Raw genomic sequence first — 23175 nt, 5'->3', positions numbered from 1 at the left:
TTTCTAATGCACTTTAAATTTGGATTCTGCTATTGATATCTGTGTCCCAATAAGAAATGATGTGATGTGGAGTATAGATTTCATAAAAAATACTGATTTTATCTCAGTATGGAACCGTTTTTTGACAGATTGACAAATAGACAAGGAAGACTCTTAAATACCTAAGAAATCTAATTCAAATTTATTCTAATTAAATATGTAAAATATTAAACCTTAAGTTTAGTATAAAATGATAACTGCTTTACACCTGATTATCACTTTTTGTCTTTCCTCAGTACCTAACAATTTTTGGCATCTTTGCCTGCTAATTCAAATTTTTTCTGATTAAATATGTAAAATATTAAACCTTAAGTTTAGTATAAAATGACAGTTGCTTTACACCTGATTACCACTTTTTGCCTTTCCTCAGTATTTAACAATTTTTGACTTCTTTGCCTGTCATATAATTGCTTCAGTGTGTTTCAGCATAGGCTTCTTGTGGGTCTTTTTATTTTGGTCTAATAATCTATTTTTCATGCATGAAGATAATAGAAGGTAATGTGCTTTGAGGTATTTTATGCAGAAGCTATGCATTTGCAGTGATCCTTTTATTTCTTATTACTGACCTTGATGACAATATGATTGACTGGATTTAGGAGAACAAACTGATCTTGAACTGTTACAGGAAGGAATAGGTTGATGCACTAATAAAGTATCGTTAGTATAACCACTCTGTAATAATTTCTTGATTTGGATTCATTGTTATTAAGCATCTTTGTTATTGAGTCTTTTTTTTCTTTGGTTTATCACCAGTTAATATTGAGGGTCTAATACTAAGCTAACCAATAGGTTTTAAGAGATAGAGTCTCACTCTGTCACCCAAGCTGGAGTTCACTGACAAGATCATAGTTCACTGCAACTTTCAACTCCTGGGCTCAAGGGATCCTCCCACCTCAGCCTCCCTAGTAGCTGAGATTATAGGTAGGAATTACCACACTCTGGTACTAAGCTTTTAAGTCAGGATAGTAAATTAGTACATCTTGTATCACACTGGCCAAAACACTTTTTTTCTAATACTAATATTTTAGCAGATTACTGGTAATTTTTTTCTAAAATAATGGGTTGCATTGCTAATGGGTAGGACAATGAAGAAAGAAAGTAAGAAAAGAATCACATCTTTATAATAGATTCAAGATGTCACAGAGTAAGGAAAGCAAATCTATTATTGAAGACTATATGAAGAAAACCACAGTCTGGTTTGAACTTTGTTAATTTGGGTTACAATATTTCATATAATAATTTTGAAGCAAAGCAATTTAAATATGTGAATAATATTCCAGTGCACATTAGACTATCATACACTTCAAATGGCATTTTCCTGTGCCTTTTTTCAAAGTCCATTCAGTGTTCTTAATTTCTAAAGGTAATTCATTAGCATTTAAAGATATTAGTAGAAAAAATTGACCAATTTCAGGAGAACCTTTATTTGAATTGTATTCAGTTTTAATTAATTCTTTGCTATGTTCGTGATATAATTGGAGGCTTTTATGGGATAACTTTATCCCTGTTACTGTTCATTAGCACTTATAATTGATGTTGAGAAAACACAGAAAATTAAGCCCAGATAAGTTTATTTTGCTGTTTATTATGGTCAATGGTAAAATACCCAGTTTAAAAAAATATGATGGATAGCAGGTGTAATAGAAAAGAAATCCACAAAGAAGGAGGTGGTCAGTAATTCACAAGAGAAAACATTAAGGGTTCAGCAGAATACTTACAAATATTAGGTATGAAGTAACAAAGTAAACTAGAAGCTTTAACATGAAGAGTTATAGAAACTTGATGCAGGATTAGTGTTTAATATATAGTAAGAGTGGCTATTCTTGGTCTTAAACAAATAGATTTAATTGGAAGGTGAGGATTAGCAGTGCATGTTAAGTGCATTTAGGAATCTATAGACCAAAATGTGGCTGTGAAATGTGAAAAACACTGGATGGGGTTAAAAGGAGTGAGAAATCTATATGGGATTATACTACAGACTAGACAGTATGGATGATGATTTCCTAATAGGTAAAAAAGCAGGATACCCAGATCAAACTAATGCTCGACACTGCCCTTCCCCTCCACACTCCAATTATAGCTATCATGTTGAGCCATATGAAATCACTGCTTTTGTATGTAGAAAACAATTATTAGCCATTTCATATTGTTTGACCCATATAGAAATGCCCGAAAGGACCATTAAAGTTCTAATTAGCATATGGGGAAAGAACCCATAGATTTTATTTTATGGGAATAATGGTATCACATTCATAGCTAAAACGTAAGAGCTGGAGAGAATAATATTTTGCTTTAATTTTCTCTATCAAGGACACTGATAAATAAACTGCAAAGGGTAGAGCAAGCATAGTTAGAGAAAAGAAAATGCAAGGTAGATTAGTACCTACTTGCTTTAAGAGGCCCAAATTAATTAAAGCCTGTTATACTGAAATAATTTTCACTGGAAGATATTCTTTGTGAAACCAGAGTAGACAGGAGAAACAGAAATGGCCCAGTAGGCAAATATATACAAAAAGGAAAAAAGAATAGATTCTAGAAACTATAGATGGTGAACTCAGCTTTAACCCCAGACAAAATTTTAGACAGGTTTATTCAACAGGTGTTTGTGCACTTTCAGAAGATAGTCAAATTAACTTTATTTTCTCTTTCTTCTGAGCACTAGATACTATAAGGCAGCATTTTAAGAAACCTAATGTAGTCTTTGCAATCTTAACCTTCATTCGTAGAAGTGTAGTTTCCTGATGAAGGAAAATAATACACTGTACTCTGTGCTGATAAGACCACTGGAACATTGTGCTCTTACTATTTTAAAAGGCTCAGACATTGATAAACTAGAGACCTCCCAGAAGAAAGTAACCACAATAATATTTATGGTGAAGGAGTGTTTTTCTTGAGGGGATATTAGGAAAGAGAAGTATCTATAAATTACAGCTGTGAGTAATGTAGAAGGACTTAACATGTCAAAAGAAAACTTAAGGTACAAATGATAGCTATCTTTATTTCATGGATTACCATGTAATAAAGGGAATTGACTTTTTTCTTTTTAGTTTATTTTTTAAAGATGGGATCTCGCTATATTGCCCAGGATGGAGTGCAGTGGCTATTCCCACACAGATCATAGCACATCCTTCTGCCTCAGCCTCTGAGTAGCTGAGACTACAGGCACCACCATATTATATTCTTTTTTTAATGTCGTTCCCAAGGGTAGAACCTGGATAACTCTCTGGAAATTACACAGAGAGAGATAAAGTTCAATTAAAGGTAGAGTCTCCCCTAATTAGAGCAGCTGTACATATGAATTGGCCATTCCTGGAAAAGAAAAACCTTATCTTTACTAGTGTTTAGGCAGAGGTCGGAATGGCCATCTGCCATTTAGGTTATAGAAAGGATAATTTTGTGAGGAGGTAGTTTGGACTAGAATTGATGGCTCCCAAACTTGGCAGAGTATCACCATCACTGCAGAGCTTGTTAGAAAAACATTTTAAGAGTTGTATATATTTTTGTAGATCACTTTTTCCCCAGTGAAGTATTTTACTCATTCCTGAAATTGGATAAGTGATACAAGCTTTGCAGAGTAGAATGTAAATTCCACGAGGACAGAGACCTCGTTTGACTTTTTTATTTTTTATTTTTTATTTTTTTTGAGATGGAGTTTCGCTCTTGTTGCCCTGACTGGAGTGCAATGGCGCGATCTTGGCTCACCACAACCTCCGCCTCCCAGGTTCAAGCAATTCTCCTGCCTCAGCCTCCCGAGTAACTGGGATTACAGTCATGCGCCATCACGCCTGGCTAACTTTGTATTTTTAGTAGAGACGGGGTTTCACCGTGTTGGTCAGGCTGGTCTCGAACTCCCTACCTCAGGTGATCCACTCCCTTGGCCTCCCAAAGTGCTGGGATTACAGGCGTGAGCCACCGCGCCCAGCCTATTTGACTTGTTTATAATCAGTATCTCCAGGATCTATCACAGTGCTTTAGCTTCTAGTAAGAGGTAAACCAATGTTATGCTTTAAAGAAAGCAGCTAAGTCCATTGATGGCTGTTTATTGATCTTATGACTTTATAAATTTGTAAAATATATACAGTAAATCTATTATCCTGTCATTATTTGAATATTTAAGAAGTACGGTCTATCATTGAGTTAGTTCATTTTGTCTTTTGTTAGAGAACAATTTAGAAGCTTATAGTATGGAATTTTAAATACAAATATCTAAGAGACAATGGATTCTGAATAGAATATTTTGTATTCAAATACATTGTATTCAAATCTATATTTGACTAATTTATCTACTAGTGAATTATTCAACATTGCTAAAGAATTGTTTTTCTCAAAAGGAAAGTTCTTCAAATATTTTAAGACAATTTACATGTTTATGTTACCATTCAAGAAAAAACTATAGTTAGTTGATGGTTGGAAACTGACTGTAATCTCAGCTTTCAAAATATAAAGGAGTCATAAGTATTGTTTTTTATAAGTTGCAAATTCTTAACAACAGTGGGTGAAGAAGCACACATTGTTTTCCTGGCTAAAATTATGTTGATTGATTGCCCTGTTTTAATGAGTTTTTAGAAGTGTATTGCCATTTTACTTTTGTGACATAGTGGAGTTAAATTTTTTAGTAAATAGAGCCTGGGATAATGTTACTTAACTTTTAGGGTGCTTTTGAAATAATTAAGTTACTAATCAAAGTAACTAATTATATATACTAAAACTTATTACATAACCTTGAAGTATAGATTTTGAAGTTTAACAGTGAGAATGTAATGATGCCATTATAGTGAATACATCAGGCTAGGAGTATGGGGTTTTTTGATCATTTATTTGTAGTTGTTTCTTACATTTAATACTTCATTCTACTTACAGGGGAAGTTAAATTGCTCATCTCTAGACTTGCATCATGCTTATAATAAAAGTAAAAAGAAACCAGTTCACTCAGTGGCATTTGATAGAGACATTTAGATAGAACACAGTGATAGCCTTGTGCATGTTTGTGTATGTGTGCAAGTGTGTATGTGTGTGTTCATTTTTTAAACTGTTACTTTAGAGAAAAGGAAAAATGGTTTGGAGCATTCTCCTCCCCCCAAGGAAGTGTGTGATATTCATGCTAGAAGAATGAGATCCAGTTCTTCCCAGTAAAATACTCATGAATTGGTCAGAAGTGAACACTTTTCAATTGTATCTGTATAATCAATTATCAACCATTAACATTTGGGGAACATGTTCCTAATAAAGGCTACTGTAGTAAGTAAAGCAAGAATCAGTACTAAAAAATAATGGCTAAATGGAGAATACATGCAAAAGAGAGTGTTGACATTGTTTCTTTTTTTTTTTTTTTTTTTTTTTGAGACAGAGTTTCGCTCTTGTTGCCCAGGCTGGCGTACAATGGTGCGATCTCGGCTCACTGCTACCTCCACCTCCCGGGTTCAAGCAATTCTCCTGCCTCAGCCTCCAGAGTAGCTGGGATTACAGGCATGCACCACCAGGCCCAGCTAATTTTTGTATTTTTAGTAGAGACGGGGTTTCTCCATGTTGATCAGGCTGGTCTTGAACTCCTGACCTCAGGTGATCTGCCCACCTCACCCTCCCAAAGTGCTGGGATTACAGGCATGAGCCGACGTTATTTCTTAATGTATAGAGACTAAGACTTGTTTATATTAACAATCACTGAGAAAAAATATATAGATATCATTTCCAGTGCCAGATGAATAAATAAATAAACCGCTGAACTGGGAGAAGGAACATTTAATGATATATGTCATACCTTATGTTAGATTTTTCTTGAATAGGTATTAGTGACTATTGGGAAGAACCTAATAGAAAATGTATGTTTAAGATAAAAATGTATTTTGAAAAGTATTAAGTGAAATTTTAAAAATTTCCTCATTCTTTTAACACAAAGCAGTTGGCTTCATTTCTCTTGTTTCTTTATGGTCCTTATCCATACATTTGTGCATAAATTTACATAGTTGATAGTGTACACATAATTTTGTATTTTACATTTTTGCTGTGTAACCCCTAATTTTTTTCACATTGCTTTTTATATTATTGATTGCTATGTAATAGTCTATCAAATATTCCATAATTTAATACGTAACCATTCCCTTGATACTGGACTTGTAGGTTGTTTTTAATTCACTGGCTTTATAAATAGTACTACTTTAAATATTTTATATATGTAACTGTTTTTTGCTAATCAGTTATGTCCCCAGGATAGATGCCCAGAGGTGGAGTAATAGATGTGCATGTTTTCATGGCTCTTCAAGTATATTGCCAAGTTATTTTCCTAAGGGATCATCTCACTGTATGGTGCTTTTAGAAATAGAGGTGTATATCAGTTTCAAGTAGTAATAGCTAACATTAGGTTTTTGAATTTTTAGAAATGCTAATTTATTAGGTGTAAATTTATGCCTCATTTTCATTTAAATTTCTTTGATAACTGGCAAAATAGTTGTATCTTTTCTGTGAGTCAGCATATTATTTATATTTCCTATATTGCACCTTATCTGTTAACTTTTTTTTACCAAATCATCTTTTGGGTGTTGATGGTGTTCTTATAGCTCATTAGTTTTATATGTATTTTAAAATATTAAGATTTTTCCATCTTGTAAATATTTTCACTTTTTTCAATTTTTACTTTTTTTTTGTAAAGCGGTTTTTAAAAGTAAACTAACAGCACAGCTAAAAGATAATATACCAGAGATGCAAAGATGGTTCAACATTTACAAATCTGTAAATGAAATACATCACATAAACAGAATCAAGGAAGAAACCATAATCATCTCAGTAGATGGCAGAAAAAGCATTTCTTAAAATTCAGTATTCCTTTTTTTTTTAATTTGAGACGGAGTTTCGCTCTGTTGCCCAGGCTGGAGTCCAGTGGCGCCATCTCGGCTTACTGCAACCTCCGCCTTCTGGGTTCAAGAGATTCTCTGGCCTCAGCCTCCTGAGTAGCTGGGATTACAGGTGCATACCACCACATCTGGCTAATTTTTTGTTATTTTAGTAGAGATGGGGTTTCACCATGTTGGCCAGGCTGGTCTCAAACTCCTGACCTCAAGTGATCTGCCTGCCTCAGCCTCTCAAAGTGCTGGGATAATAGGCGTGAGCCACCATGCCCGGCTTCAGCATTCCTTTTTGGTAAAAATCCTCAACAAATTGGGCATAGAAGGAACATATCTCAAAATAATAAAGGGCATGTATGATAAACCTACAGCTAGTGTCATATTGAATGAGGGAAAGCTGAAAACATTTCTTCTAAGAACTGGAGCAAGACAAGAGAGTGCCTGCTTTCACTCCTATTCAACATAGTAATGGAAATCCTAGCGAGAGTGGTCAGATGAGAGAAGAAATAAAAGGCATCCAAATTGGAAAAGAGGAAGTCAAATTATCTCTGTTTGCTGATGATATGGTCTTATACCTAGAAAATTCTAAAGACTCCTCCAAAGGACTCCTAGATTTTTGATAAATGAATTCAGTAAAGTTTCAGGTTACAAAATCAAAGTACAAAAATTAGTAGCATTTCTGTACACCAAAAGTGAGCAAGCTAAGATAAAATCAAGAAGCCAATAATAGCTACAAAAAAACCCCCAAAATCTAGGAATATATTTAACCAAGGAGGTGAAAGATCTCTACATAGAAAACTACAGAACACTTAGGAAATTGTAGATGACACAAACAAGTAGAAAAATAGCCTGTGCTCATGGACTGTAAAAAACAATATTGTTAAAATGATCATACTGCTGAAAGCAACCTACAGATTCAGTGTAATCTCCATGAAAATACCAATATCATTTTCACAGAAATAAAAAATAATCCTAAAATTCATATGGAACCAAAAAGAGTGCAGATAGCCACAGTAGTCCTGAGCAAAAAGAACAAAGCTGGAGACATCATGTTACCTGATGTAAATTACATTGCAAGGTTCTAGTAACCAAAACAGCATTGTACGGGTATAAAAATAGACAAACAGACCAAAGGAACAGAATAGAAAACCCAGAAATAAATCTACATATTTATAGCCAACTGATCTTTGACAAAGCTGACAAGAACATGCATTGGGAAAAGGACACCCTCTACTATAAACAGTGCTGGGATAAATGAATGTTCATATGCAGCAGAATAAAACTGGACCCGTATCTCTAACCATATAAAAAATCAACTCAAGATGAATTAAAAACTTAAATGTAATACCCACAACTATAAAAATAATAGGGGAAAACAGCAAAAACTCTTTTGGACATTGGTCTAGGCAAAAAATTTATGAGTAAGACCTCAAGGCTGGGTGTGGTGGCTCATGTCTGTTATCCCAGCACTTTGGGAGGTTGAGGTGGGCAGATCACCTGAGGTCAGGAGTTCAAGACCAGCCTGCCCAACATGGCAAAAGCCTGTCTCTACTTAAAATACAAAAAATTAGCTAGACGTGGTGGCAGCCGCCTGTAATCCCAGCTACTCAGGAGGCTGAGGCAGGAGGATTGCTTGAACCTGGGAGGTAGAGGTTGCAGTGAGCCGAGATCACACCACTGCACTCCAGCCTGGGTGACGAGTGAAACTCCATCTAAAAAAAAAAAAAAAAACTGAAAAGCACAGGCAACAATAACAAAAATAGACAAATGGGACTTACTGAAGTCCTAAAGTACTAAAAAGCTTATGCACAACAAAAGAAGCACCAGCAGAGTGAAGAGACAATCTGTAGAATGTGTAGAATTGGAGAAAATAATTGCAAATTATCCATCTGATAGGGGACTAATAACCAAAATATACAAGGAACTCAACTCAACAACAAAACTCAGAAACAATCCCATTAACAAGTGGTTAAAGACATAAATAGGTATTTTTCAAAAGAAGACGTGCAAATGGCCAACAGGTATACAAAAAAATGATCGGCCAGGCGTGGTGGTTCACGCCTATAGTCCCAGCACTTTGGGAGGCTGAGGCTGGTGGATCACCTGAGGTCAGGAGTTTGAGACCAGCCTGGCCAATATGACAAAACCCTGTCTCTACTAAAAATACAAAAATTAGCTGGGTGTGGTGGCGGGCACCTGTAATCCCAGCTACTCAGGAGGCTAAGGCAGGAGCCTGAACCTGGGAGGTGGAGGTTGCAGTGAGCTGATATGGTGCCACTGCACTTCAGCCTGGGTGACAGAGCAAGACTTCATCTCAAGAAAGAAAGAAAAAGAAAAAATGCTCAACATCACTAATTATCACAGAAATTTAAATTAAAACCACAATGAAATATCTTACCTCTGTCAGATTGGCTATTAATAAAAATATATATTTTAAAAAAACATTTTGGTGAGGCTGTGCAGAAAAGAACTCTTAACACACTGTTGGTAGGATTATAAATAAGTACAGCCTCTGTGGTAAATAGTATGGAGATTTCTCAAAGAACTAAAAATAGAATGTCCATTCAATCCAGCAAACCCATTACTGGGTATATACCCCAGAGGAAAATAAATCATTATATCAAAAAGATACTTGCACTAGTATGTTTATAATGGCACTATTCACAATAGCAAAGATATGAAATCAACTTAAGTGTCCATCAGTGGATGAATGGATAAAGAAAATGCTTTGGAAGGCCAACGTGAAAGGATCACTTGAGCCCAGGAATTCAAGACCAGCCTGGGCAACATAGAGAGACCCCATCTCTAAAACAACAGCAAAAGATTAGCTGGGCATGGTGGCACACACCTGTGGTCCCAGCAACTCAGGAGGCTGAGGTGGGAGGATCAGTTGAGCCCAGGAGGTCTTGGCTGCAGTGAGCTGTGATAGTGCCACTGCATTCCAGCCTGGGCGACAAAGCAAGATCGTGTTTAAAATAATAATAATAATAATAATAATAATAATAATAATAATAATAATAATGAAATATGAATAAATTGAAAAAATAAAGGAAAATGTGCTATATATACATAATCAAGTACTATTCAGCCATAAAAAAAATGAAGTCATGTTATTTGCAGCAATACGGATGGAACTGGAGGTCATTATCTTAAGTAAAACAAGCCAGGTACAGAAAGTCAAATATCACATTTTCTCATGAACTCATAAGTGGGTGCTACAAAATGTGGACATCTGGATGTAGAGAGTGGAATGGTAGACAGTGGAGACTCAGAAGGGTGAGGCTGTGGGAGGGGAATGGATGTTGAGAAATTACTTAATGAGTACAGTGTATCATATTTGGGTGTTGTATGCCCTGAAAACCCTGCCTTGACCACTATGCAATCTTTGCATGTAACAAAATTGCACACATAGCCCATGAATTTGTATGAGTAACAAAATAGTTTTAAAAAAATGTATTTTGCTTATGTACTTAGCTGTGTTTCTTTGGCCATTAAGGAACTCAAATATTTGTTAGATGAATGAGTGGATTTTCTTTCTGGTAGTTATTTATTTTCCCCTCTCTTTCTCTGGCTCTTGCTGTCCTTCTCTTTTTGTTTGTTTCATTCATTTATTCATTTTTATTGGCAAATAATTTTGTATATTCAAGGCGTACAATGTCATGTTTTGATCTATGTATACATTACAGAAAGATTAAACCAAACTAATTAGCATATCCATCACCTCACCAACATTTTCTTGTGGTGAGAACATTACAAATCTATTCTTTTAGCAATTTTGAAATACACATTTTATTATTATTAACTGTGGTCACCATGTAGTACAGTAAATCTCAAAACTTGTTGCTCCAGTCTAACTGAAACTTTGTGCCCTTTGATCAGCATCTCCCCTTTCCTCACCCCTCTCCTTTCCTTGTATCCTGTGGTAACTACCTTTCTACTCTGTTTTTATGAAATCAACTTTTTTAGCTTCTACATAAATGATATCAACCAGTATTTGTTTTTCTGTGCTTGGCTTATTTCACTTAGCATAATGTCTTCTAATTTCATCCAAGTTGTTGTGAATGGCATAATTTCCAATTTCTTTCCTTTATAAGACTTAATGATTTTTGCGTGTGTGTGTGTGTGTGTGTGTGTGTGTGTGTGTGTATAAAACACATTGATTCATTCATCTGATGGACACTTAGATTGCAATCATATCTTGGCTATTGTGACTAATGCTGCAACGAACATGAGAGTGCAGACATCTCTTTGACATTGATTTCAATCCCTTTGGATATATATCCAGAAGTAGGATTACTGGATCATATGGTATTTCCATTTTCAATTTCTTGAGGAACCTCCATACTATTTTCCAAAATGTTTCAATTTACATTGCTGCCAACAGTATGCAAGACTTTTCCTTTTCTCTATGTCCTTACCAACACAGATTAGTATTTGTCTTTTTTATAATACCCATTCTAACAGGTGTGAAGTGATATATCATTGTTCCTTTAATTTGCATGTCCCTGATGACTGGAGATGTTGAGCATTTTTTCGTATATCCATTGGCCATTTGTATGTCGTCTTTTGAGAAATGTTTGTTCAGACCTTTTGCCCATTTTTAATTACATTTTTTTTTTGCTATTGAGTTTCTTATATATTTTAGATATTAACCCCTTATCAGATAGATGGTATGCAGGTATTTTCTCCCAATCTGTGAGTTGTATCATCTGTCTGCTAATCATTTCCTTTGCTGTACAGAAGCTTTTTAGTTTGATACTATCCCATTTGTCTATTTGTGATTTTGTTGCCTGTGTTTGGAGTCCTACCCAAGAAATCATTGGCTAGAACAATGTTCTGAAGCTTTTCCCTTATGTTTTCTTCTAGGAACCTTACTGTTTGATATCTTCTGTTTAAATCTTTGATTCATTTTGAGTTGGTTTTTGTACATGTTAGGAGAATAGGGTTCAATTTCATTCTTTTGCATGTAGATATCCAGTTTCCCAGCACCACTTATTGAAGAAACTGTCCTTTCCCCATTGTGTGTTCTTGGAATCTATGTTGAATATTGTTTTATTTTAAATGCTTGGGTGAATTTCTGGACTTTATATCCTGTTCCCTTGGTTGATGTGTCTGTTTCTACGTCAGTATCATGCTGTTTCTATTAAATAAGCTTTATCATACATTTTAAAATCAGGGAGCATGATGCCTCTAGCTTCATTGTTTTTGCATAAGAGTGTTTTAGCTGTTTGGGGTCTTTTCTGGTTTCACTTGAATTTTAGGATTTTTTTTCTATTTATGTGAAAAATGTCATTGAAATTTTCATAGAGATTGCATTAGATCTGTAAATGTTGTTGGGTAGAATGGACATTTTTGACATTGAGCTGCTGAATGGATGAAAAACCATGACCCAATAATATGCTGCCTACAGGAGACTCATCATCTCTAAGGACACCCATAGACTGAAAATGGAGAGATGGAAAATATGTTCCATACAAATGGAATCCAAAAGAGAACAGGAGTAGTTTTCTTTATATCAGATATAAGAGAATTTAAAAAGTGAATAGTGACAAAAAACGTCATATGTAATGATAGAGATGTTAGTTCATCAAGAAGTTTGGCAGTTGTAAATATATATGCACCCAACATTGGAGCACCTAAATATACAAGGCATATATAATAAAAACTGAAGGGAGGGAGGGAGGAAGAGAGAGAGAGACACTGCAACTGCAATACAATAATAGGAGACATCAATACCTCACTTTCAACATCGGACAGATTATGTAGACAGAAAATCAATAAGGAAACATTGTACTTAAACCACATTTCAGACTAATTGGTCCTAATAGACATTTATAGAACATTTCAGCTCAAGTACATGTGGAGTATTCTCCAGGATAGATCGTATTTTAGGACACAAAGCAAGTCTTAACAAATTTAAGAAGATTGAAATAATATTAAGCATCTTTTCTAATTACAATGGCATGAGACTAAAAATAACAGGAGTAATCTTGGAAGGCTCACAGATGTATGCAAATTAAGCAACATACTTTTGAAAAACCATGAGTCAAAGAATAAATTAAAAGGGAAACTGAGGCAAATGAAAATGGAAACACAACCTACCAAAACTTATGGGATGCAGCAAAAACAGCCCGGAGAGGTAAGTTTATAGCAATAAACATTAAAAAAGAGAAAATATTAACATTGAACCTCAAGGAACTAGAAAAAGATGAACAAAGTATGCCCAACCTTAGCAGAAGGAAGGAATAAGGAAGATTGGAGCAGAAATAGACAAGATAGAGACTTGAAAAACAGCAGAAAAGATTAACAAATCTTAAAGTTGGTTTGTTAAAAAGGTAAACAATATTGACAAATTTTTAGGTAGACTTAGGAAAAAAAACAAAAGAAAAGACTCAGAATCAGAGATGAAAGTGGAAACTGAACAGACAAATAACAAGTAATGAGATTGAGTCGGTAATAAAAAGTCTTCCATCAAATAAAAGCTTAGGACCAAATGGCTTTTCTGTTGAATTCTACCAAACATTTAAAGCAGAACTTACACTAATGTTTTTCAAACTCTTCCAAAAAATTGAAGAGGAGAGAATACTTTCAAATTCATTTTATGAGGTGAGCATTACCCTGATACCAAATTCAGGCAGTGTTAATACAGGGAAACTAAAGGCCAATATCCCTTTTGAGAATAGATGCAAAAGGCTGGGTGCAGTGGCTCATGCCTGTAATCCCAGCACTTTGGGAGGCCGAGGTGGGCAGATCACCAAACCTGTGTGATCATTTCAATAGATGCAGAAATAGTATTTGACAAAATTCAACATGTATTCATGATAAAATCTCAACATAAGAGGTATAGAAGGAATGTATCTCGGCTGGGCATGGTGGCTCATGCCTGTAACACCAGCACTTTGGGAGGCTGAGGTGGGCGAATCATCTGAGGTCAGGAGTTCAAGACCAGCGTGACTAACATGTTGAAACTCCATCTCTAATAAAAAGATGCCCATTCTCGCCACTTATATTCAATGTAGCACAGGAAGTCTGAGCCAGTGCATTTAGGCCAGAAAATGAAAGAAACAAATGAAAATGAAAGAAACAAAATGCATCCATATAGTAAAAGAAGGAGTGAAATTTTCTGTTTTCTGATGACATGATCTTATATGTAGAAAACCCTAAAAATCCACCAAAAGAACCCTCTTATAACTGATATACAAATTGAGTAATGTTGCAGATTACAAAATGAACTTGACAATCTACATTGTTTCTATACTCTAACAATGAACTATCCAAAGAACTCAGTGAAACAATTCCATTTACGATAGAATCTAAGAAAGTACTTTGGAGTAAATTTAAGTATAGGTGAAAGAGCTGTATAGTGAAAACTATAAAACATTGATGAAAGAAATTGAAGATTCAAATAAATGGAAAGATATCCCATGTTCATGGATTTGCTTTCTATCTCCTGCAGCTCCCCTTCTCAAAATTGCTTTTCTGTTTTGTTTTTTTTTTCCCCTTCTATTGGTAATGATGTTTTTTGCTTTTATACTGCAAGCAGTGATTTTAATCTGGGGCAGTTTCTTACCCTAGACAACATCTAGAGATATTTTTGTTTGTCACGACTTAGTGTGGGGGGGATCCTACTAGCATGTAGTGGGGACAGGTGAGGGATGCTGCAAAACACCCTGCAATGGAAAGTCCCCACAGCAAAGAATCATTCAACGGAGAATATCAATAGTTTAAAGGTTGAGAAGCCCTGCCTTAAAGTAACCTTTCTCCCCTGCATCTACCTGCAAAGTATGAAGAGACAAAAGCCAAGCAGAAGTAATGGTTGATTGTTTTAAGGAACTCAGAGCAGTAAGAAATGTTTCACTGGAGAAGGAAGATTTCTGAAGTCCCAAATTAGGGTACCAGTCCTTCCTATCTTGGAGTCATGGGATTTTCTTGTGGTTGAGATGGGAACACCTGCCAAAAAGAAATCCTCTTGCCTGATACTGATGCTTATGCAGTTCCTCCCATTATTTACTCAGCATCTTGCAGTATTACATAACTACTCAGGTCTCTTATGTGTTCTAATTGTTTATATTCAACATGTCACTGATTTTGCTATTCATTATTCATTTTTTGTCATTTTGTCAGTTAAAATGGCCAGTGGATCTGCCTTTGCCTGAAAGAAAGACTTCATTGCTCTTAAAATTGTGAGATGTTGAAAGATTTCATATTTTTGATTGTGGCATGGTTCTAATCATACTAATCTAGCTAGAACTCAGTTCTTGCTTTAATCTTGCCCTGCTTGAACATGAAGCTATTTTCATTTTGTACTATATTATTTATGCAGTATGGTAAAATGTCACTTTGCCTCAAGGTGACCTTTGAAGTTATAGGGAGCCTATGTTTTGATTAAAATACATTGTGTGGGGTGTTAAGCACTTTTAGTGTATAAGGGAAGATGAAGGATTTCACAGGGCAAGTGGGTGGCTGTAAATTTTTACATAGAGATCAAGATTTGTTTTTTAGCATGAGCAGAATCCACGTGGTATTTGGAGAAGAATTGTGTAGACTTATGCTATGTTATGGCTTTTTTTTTAAGAAAATGCAGAACAAGGCAAAGCGAACAAGAAAAAAAAATGAGATAGGACTTAAAATGACTTCATAGGAGATGAAGCCTTTAAAGTTCATTGTTAACTACAGGGAGAGCCTCTAAATTCAGAAACCAAAAGGAAAGAACCCATAGACAAACCTAGGTTGTTTGTAACATAAAATATTTGTAACATCATAGATTTCCTTATCTTTTCACTGTATAGTTTTTTTTTACTTGTATTACTCTTGAATTTTTAGGGGCAGTCATACATATGGTGGATAGGTGTGAGGAGGTAGGACAATAATTTATGAAATTCCTGTATAATTTTTTAGAGGAATATACTTAACCAAGTACAGTTTTATTCTAAAATTTCTTCATGTTATAGAAAGATTTACCTATATATTTAAAATGACAGTCTCTTTGACTATAGCGTACCAAGAAAGGCAAAAGGAGAATGTGCTTGAGAAACCACAGTAAGCCAAGCAGAATATCAGTCCCTTGGGATTTAATGGAAGAGTATTCTTGGTGCTTTCTTGTAGTAAACTGGAGTTCATAAAATCATGAACTATGTAAGGGAATTTAGACTTCTCACAGGGCAGAATTGCTATAATATATGTACTCTGTTTTGTCTCATCTTAATATTTATGACTTAATTTCATGAAATCAGTTTCACTTTTAAGTTTTAAGTTAATTTCGTATTTTTTTCAGTGAATATCACCTCTGCCAGGCAATTAACCGGCTGTAGTCGCTTTGGTCATATTTTCCCTTCATCTGCTTACCAGCACATTAAGATGCATAAGAGAATTCTGGGGCACTTGTCATCTGTCTACTGTGTAGCATTTGACCGAAGCGGGAGAAGAATTTTTACAGTGAGTGTAAAATTTATAATATGGTAACATATATAGAATTACAACAATTGAAGCCAGACTGCATGGCATTGCATTGTGCTTTGTAAGCAGTTCACTTTTTTTGGATATATGGGTGCAGAAAAAGATGAGTGGAAATTGAAAAAAGTTTCTCATTTTATATAAGTAAACGAATGAACAAAAATGTTTACTATCTTCTTGGAAGTTTAATTTTAAAAAGTTAAATCTTCAGAAGACCTTATATTCTAGAAGTGGTTAATTTATGTGAAACAAGTGTACTCAATTTCATTTCATTCAGTTTTAACAAACATTTATTAAATGTTTGTTAATGTGTCACTCAGTGTAATTGCTGCCAGTTTTCCCTAAATAATGATTTCATCACTTTTTTTGATTAGATAGTTGAACTACACTGTGATGAAGATTATAGCTATTTTTTATATCTTTTTTTTGGTTTCAGTACTGGTTATTTTTTAAGCTGAATTTTTATTAAGCAGATAATACTGTATGCTTTTGAGTACAAAATTGTAGTACACCAGTATTTCCAAAAGAAAGCTTAATCTCATTGCTTTAGTATTAACATAGAAGTGTGGATAATAGCATAATTTTATTTTTATATTTGTATGCTACAACGAATGAAGTGGAAGTTATTCGGGAAGTTATTACACCTTAGAGTTTATTTTGGACTCTTCCATTAATGACTTAATGGCTCTAAATGCGTCACATAAGTATTTGGATGTTAGTGATCATGATGAGGATGATGAATGCTATGTTTTAATAAATAGATAATTGTTAAGTAACTTTTCTACCATAGTAGAGTAGAATTGCTTTTTACTGTTCACTCTTCTGAAATTCTCAAAAGGAAGTTTAATATATTTTTACCAGAAATTATCATTAACGGGTAGCCTCATGTTTACTGAGAAATGCATGTAGACTTTAGGTTAAATTCTGAATAATTTGTGGAAAAAATATTTAAATAATTTAGAAAAAAGGCTGTCAAGCCTAAAGAAAGAAATGATGGTAAAAATACTTAATGCCAAATCACTAAAAAGTGAGTTTAAAATATTTTGCATTGTCAGTATTGGTGGTAATTTTGAAAAGTTCTTCACAAATGCCATTGTCACTTTGGACAATGCTTTGTTATTGCTATCATTTGGACATCATTTATACTTGCTACTGGATCCCTATTATATGTAGAGAGGAGACTAGAAAGTAAAGGCTTAGAAGTAATTTAATAAAATCTTCTTTTTGGCTATTTTTTGGGTGGGGGTATTGTGAATTTCTGCTTCATTATAAACCTATTGTCCTTTTGTTACTATAGGGTTCAGATGACTGTTTAGTAAAAATTTGGGCTACAGATGATGGACGCCTTCTTGCTACACTTCGTGGACACTCTGCTGAAATTTCTGACATGGCTGTTAACTATGAAAACACTCTTATTGCTGCAGGCAGCTGTGATAAGGTAGTAAGAGTATGGTGTCTTCGAACTTGTGCACCCGTTGCAGTCCTTCAGGGCCATTCAGCTTCTATTACTTCCATACAGGTAAGAAAAGTGATAAAATTTAGCTTGAACATATGTAAAAAAGGTGAGAATTCTCTGATTTCATGTTACATTGTATAGATAATAGCCCAAAGAATAACAAGAGAAAAATGCTCTCTTCTGGACTTTGCTCCTACCCTGCAGCAAGATATTTTTTTAAGTTCCTTTTTCATATGATTATCTTTTTTAATAAATAACTAAAAAGATGATTTAAAAAGTTCTATAAATAGAGTGAGATATCTTATTTGTATTTGTTAAGAAGGGAGAAAACCTGTAAATGCCTTAAGAGCACACTCTTTCCTATTAGGATATAAATGAGTTCTACCATCAGAGAATACCTTAAACACCTCTATGCAAATAAACTAGAAAATCTAGAAGAAATGGATAAATTCCTCGACACATACACCCTCCCAAGACAAAACCAGGAAGAACTTGAATCTCTGAATAGACCAATAACAGGCTCGGAAATTGAGGCAATAATTAATAGCTTACCAACCAAAAAAAGTCCAGGACCAGATGGATTCACAGCCGAATTCTACCAGAGGTGCAAGGAGGAGCTGGTACCATTCCTTCTGAAACTATTCCAATCAATAGAAAAAGAGGGAATCCTCCCTAACTCATTTTATGAGGCCAGCATCATCCTGATATCAAAGCCTGTCAGAGACATAACAAAAAAAGAGAATTTTAGACCAATATCCTTGATGAACATCGATGCAAAAATCCTCAATAAAATACTGGCAAACCAAATCCAGCAGCACATCAAAAAGCTTATCCACCATGATCAAGTGGACTTCATCCCTGGGATGCACGGCTGGTTCAACATATGCAAATCAATAAACATAATCCCGCATATAAACAGAACCAAAGACAAGAACCATATGATTATCTCAATAGATGCAGAAAAGGCCTTTGACAAAATTCAACAACGCTTCATGCTAAAAACTCTCAATAAATTAGGTATTCATGGGATGTATCTCAAAATAATAAGAGCTATCTGTGACAAACCCACAGCCAATATCACACTGAATGGACAAAAACTGGAAGCATTCCCTTTGAAAACTGGCACAAGACAGGGATACCCTCTCTCACCACTCCTATTCAACATAGTGCTGGAAGTTCTGGCCAGGGCAATCAGGCAGGAGAAGGAAATAAAGGGTATTCAATTAGGAAAAGAGGAAGTCAAATTGTCCCTGTTTGCAGATGACATGATTGTATATTTAGAAAACTCCATCGTCTCAGCCCAAAATCTCCTTAAGCTGATAAGCAACTTCAGCAAAGTCTCAGGATACAAAATCAATGTGCAGAAATCAAGCATTCCTATACACCAATAACAGACAAACAGAGAGCCAAATCATGAGTAAACTCCCATTCACAATTGCTTCAAAGAGAATAAAATACCTAGGAATCCAACTTACAAGGGATGTGAAGGACCTCTTCAAGGAGAACTGCAAACCACTGCTCAATGAAATAAAAGAGGATACAAACAAATGGAAGAACATTCCATGCTCATGGGTAGGAAGAATCAGTATCGTGAAAATGGCCATACTGTCCAAGGTAATTTATAGATTCAATGCCATCCCCATCAAGCTACCAATAACTTTCTTCACAGAATTGGAAAAAACTACAGAACCAAAAAAGAGCCCACATTGCCAAGTCAATCCTAAGCCAAAAGAACAAAGCCAGAGGCATCACACTACCTGACTTCAAACTATACTACAAGGCTACAGTAACCAAAACAGCATGGTACTGGTACTAAAACAGAAATATAGACCAATGGAACAGAACAGAGCACTCAGACATAATGCCACATATCTACAACCATCTGATCTTTGGCAAACCTGAGAAAAACAAGCAATGGGGAAAGGATTCCCTATTTAATAAATGGTGCTGGGAAAACTGGCTAGCCATATGTAGAAAGCTGAAGCTGGATCCCTTCCTTATACCTTATACAAAAATTAATTCAAGATGGATTAAAGACTTAAATGTTAGACCTGAAACCATAAAAACCCTAGAAGAAAACCTAGGCAATACCATTCAGGACATAGGCATGGGCAAGGACTTCATGTCTAAAACACCAAAAGCAATGGCAACAAAAGCCAGAATTGACAAATGCGATCTAATTAAACTAAAGAGCTTCTGCACAGCAAAAGAAACCACCATCAGAGTGAACAGGCAACCTACAGAATGGGAGAAAGTTTTTGCAACCTGCTCATCTGACAAAGGGCTAATATCCAGAATCTACAATGAACTCAAACAAATTTACAAGAAAAAAACAAACAACCCCGTCAAAAAGTAGGCGAAGGATATGAAGAGACACTTCTCAAAAGAAGACATTTATGCAGCCAAGAGACACATGAGAAACTGCTCATCATCACTGGCCATCAGAGAAATGCAAATCAAAACCACAGTGAGATACCATCTCACACCAGTTAGAATGGCAATCATTAAAAAGTCAGGAAACAACAGGTGCTGGAGAGGATATGGAGAAATAGGAACACTTTTACACTGTTGGTGGGACTGTAAACTAGTTCAACCATTGTGGAAGTCAGTGTGGCCATTCCTCATGCATTTGGAACTAGAAATACCATTTGACCCAGCCATCCCATTACTGGGTATATACCCAAAGGATTATAAATCATGCTGCTCTAAAGACACACGCACACAGATGTTTATTGCAGTACTATTCACAATAGCAAAGACTTGGAACCAACCCAAATGTCCAACAATGATAGACTGGATTAAGAAAATGTGGCACATATACACCATGGAATACTATGCAGCCATACAAAGTGATGAGTTCATGTCCTTTGCAGGGACATGGATGAAGCTGGAAACCATCATTCTCTGCAAACTATCGCAAGGACAAAAAACCGAACACCGCATGTTCTCACTCATAGGTGGGAATTGAACAATGAGAACACCTGGACACAGGAAGGGGAACATCACACACCAGGGCCTGTTGTGGGGTGGGGGAGGGGGGATGGATAGCAGTAGGAGATATACCTAATGTTAAATGATGAGTTAATGGGTGCAGCACACCAACATGGCACATGTATACGTATGTAACAAACCTGCATGTTGTGCACATGTACTCTAAAACTTAAAGTATAATTTAAAAAAAGAATATAAACAGGTTCTAACTTGAATATTGGCATACCTTGTATTAATATTTAATGCAAGATGTTTGCCAGTCAGAGTTAGTATGTGTGTGTCTGTGTTTAGGTTAATGTGAGGGACATTTTTATTCTTAGTTTCAGTGATTTTTTATTTCAATTTGATGTGTTTTGTTTTGTTTTGTTTTGTTGTCACCCATGCTGGAGTGCAGTGGTGGGATCTCGGCTCACTGCAGCCTCCACCTCCCAGGTTCAAGTGATCTTCCCACCTCCACCTCCTGAGTAGCTGGTACTACCGGCATGCGCCACCACATCCGGCTATATTTTGTATTTTTTTTGTAGAGACAGGGATTCGACATGTTGCCTAGGCTGGTCTCAAAGTCCTGGACTCAAGTGCGATCCTCTGGCTTTGGCTTCCCAAATTGCTGGGATTACAGGCACGTGAGCCACTGCACTCAGCCTCAATTTGATTTTTAATGTGGAATACGTTGGCTTCTTTTAATAATTGTCCACATAGTGGTTTTACCAGATGTTGGTAGTGAAAGTCATGGATAACTTAAAATATTTTTTATTTAATGAAACTAATGAAGATGAGCTTTTGTCCTCTTCTTTCTGTTGAGAGCAAAACAGAGAAATATTAAAATTTTTACACTTTGGAGAAAGAGACCACTTTTGGAGGAGATAATTATACCCATTTACTTTTGTTTATTCTTTAGGAAATAATAAGTATGCCATTTTTTGTGTTATTTAAATAATATATCATCTTTTTATGGGGAGCTAGCAAGAATTGGGTTCAGTGTGTGTTGAATTTGAAAAAAATTCATGTCAACATTTTGATTATTTGAAATTATTTCATGCATTTTGATTTGGGAGATTATCAGTTACTTGTGATCTCACTATCATATCTGACTGATTATTTCTGGAATTGGGACATACTGTCATATGCCATTGAAAAAAATCATTTGATTATCGTAGTCCCCCTTATCTGCGGTTTGGCTTTCCAAGGTTTCAGTTACCCACCATCAGCCATGGTTTGAAAATAGGTGAATGCAGTGCAATGACATACTTTGGGAAAGAGACCACATTCATATAACTTTTATTATAGTATATTGTTATAATTTTATAACATTATTATTAGGTATTATTTGTTAATTTCCTACTGTGCCTAATTTATAAATTAAGCTTATAGGTGTGTAGGCATAGGAAAAAACTTAGGGCTTGGTACTATTCAAGGTTTCAGGCATCCACTGGAGGTCTTGATATGTGTCCTCTGCAGATAAGGAGGGTCTACTAAATAATGAAAAATATTTATGATACTGTTGTTTTTTTCATAGTTTCATTTGCTTGTTTATTTTCTCATTTCTTTTACATATTGTAGTGCCTTAGAGATCTGTAGACCTCTCTATCATACTCTTTCTCTTAGTCATCTCATGGTTTTGAATTTAATCTGTAAACTGATGATTCTCAAACTTCCATCTCCATTTAGGATCTTTTAGCTCCATACTTGTTTATGCAACTATCTTCTTGGCATCATCACATGGATGTCTACTAGGTATTTCAAACTCATTATATTCATTATTGAACTATTTTTTCTTCCTTAGATCTTCTCCCCAAGCCTTTTCATCCAAACAAATGGCAATACCATGCTTTCAACTGCTCAGAGTAGATCATCCCTTTTATCTTTCTCTTATACTTTGTGTCTAACTTGTCAGCAAATCATGTTGGTTCTACCATCAAAGTGTATCTAGAATCTGGCAAATTCTCATGACCTCTGTTATTGCTGTCCTGTTTTAAGGCACTATCACCTGTGGTCTAGATTATTGAAATAGACTTCTAACCGATCTGCCTGCATCTTCCATTCCCTTTCCCCTGCACCCAGTTTAGTCTCTCAGTTTAACAGACAAAGTTATTTTAAAATGGCAGTTAAATTGTGTCACTGGTGCTCAGGACCATCAGTAGCTTCCAATCTCAGAGTTAAAGCTGAAGTCTTCACAGTGACTCACAGTGCTCTGTATTCTCAGCCTCCTTGGCGCTCTTCAATCTCATCTACTGCGTGTTTGTTTGCCTTTTTCACTCTGCTTACTGCTGGCCACTTTGCTTTTCTTGAACATTCTAGGTACATGGCTGCCTTTGCTCTTAACTGTTTCCTGTCTCTGGAGTGGTCTTCCCTGGATATTCACATAGTTTGTTTTCTCAGTTTCTATGTGCTTTGTGC

The 23175-nt window shown here is 35.5% G+C and overlaps 1 protein-coding gene across 4 annotated transcripts in view; it reads left to right on the top strand.

The window, feature by feature from the left end:
• BRWD3 (bromodomain and WD repeat domain containing 3) overlaps positions 1–23175 on the top strand; it is a 140375-nt gene that overhangs the window by 47996 nt on the left and 69204 nt on the right. For all 4 annotated transcript variants that reach the window (NM_001441339.1, NM_153252.5, XM_047441957.1 and 1 more), the window contains exons 7-8: positions 16153–16313; positions 17629–17850. In NM_001441339.1, coding sequence (NP_001428268.1) covers positions 16153–16313; positions 17629–17850 — 383 coding nt within the window. The remainder of the gene's footprint in view (positions 1–16152; positions 16314–17628; positions 17851–23175) is intronic.

Source organism: Homo sapiens, chromosome X, assembly GCF_000001405.40.
Source record: "Homo sapiens chromosome X, GRCh38.p14 Primary Assembly".
Taxonomy (NCBI): Eukaryota; Metazoa; Chordata; class Mammalia; order Primates; family Hominidae; genus Homo; species Homo sapiens.
Note: the sequence above shows the minus strand (reverse complement) of the source record. Positions and strands in the feature narration are given on the sequence as shown.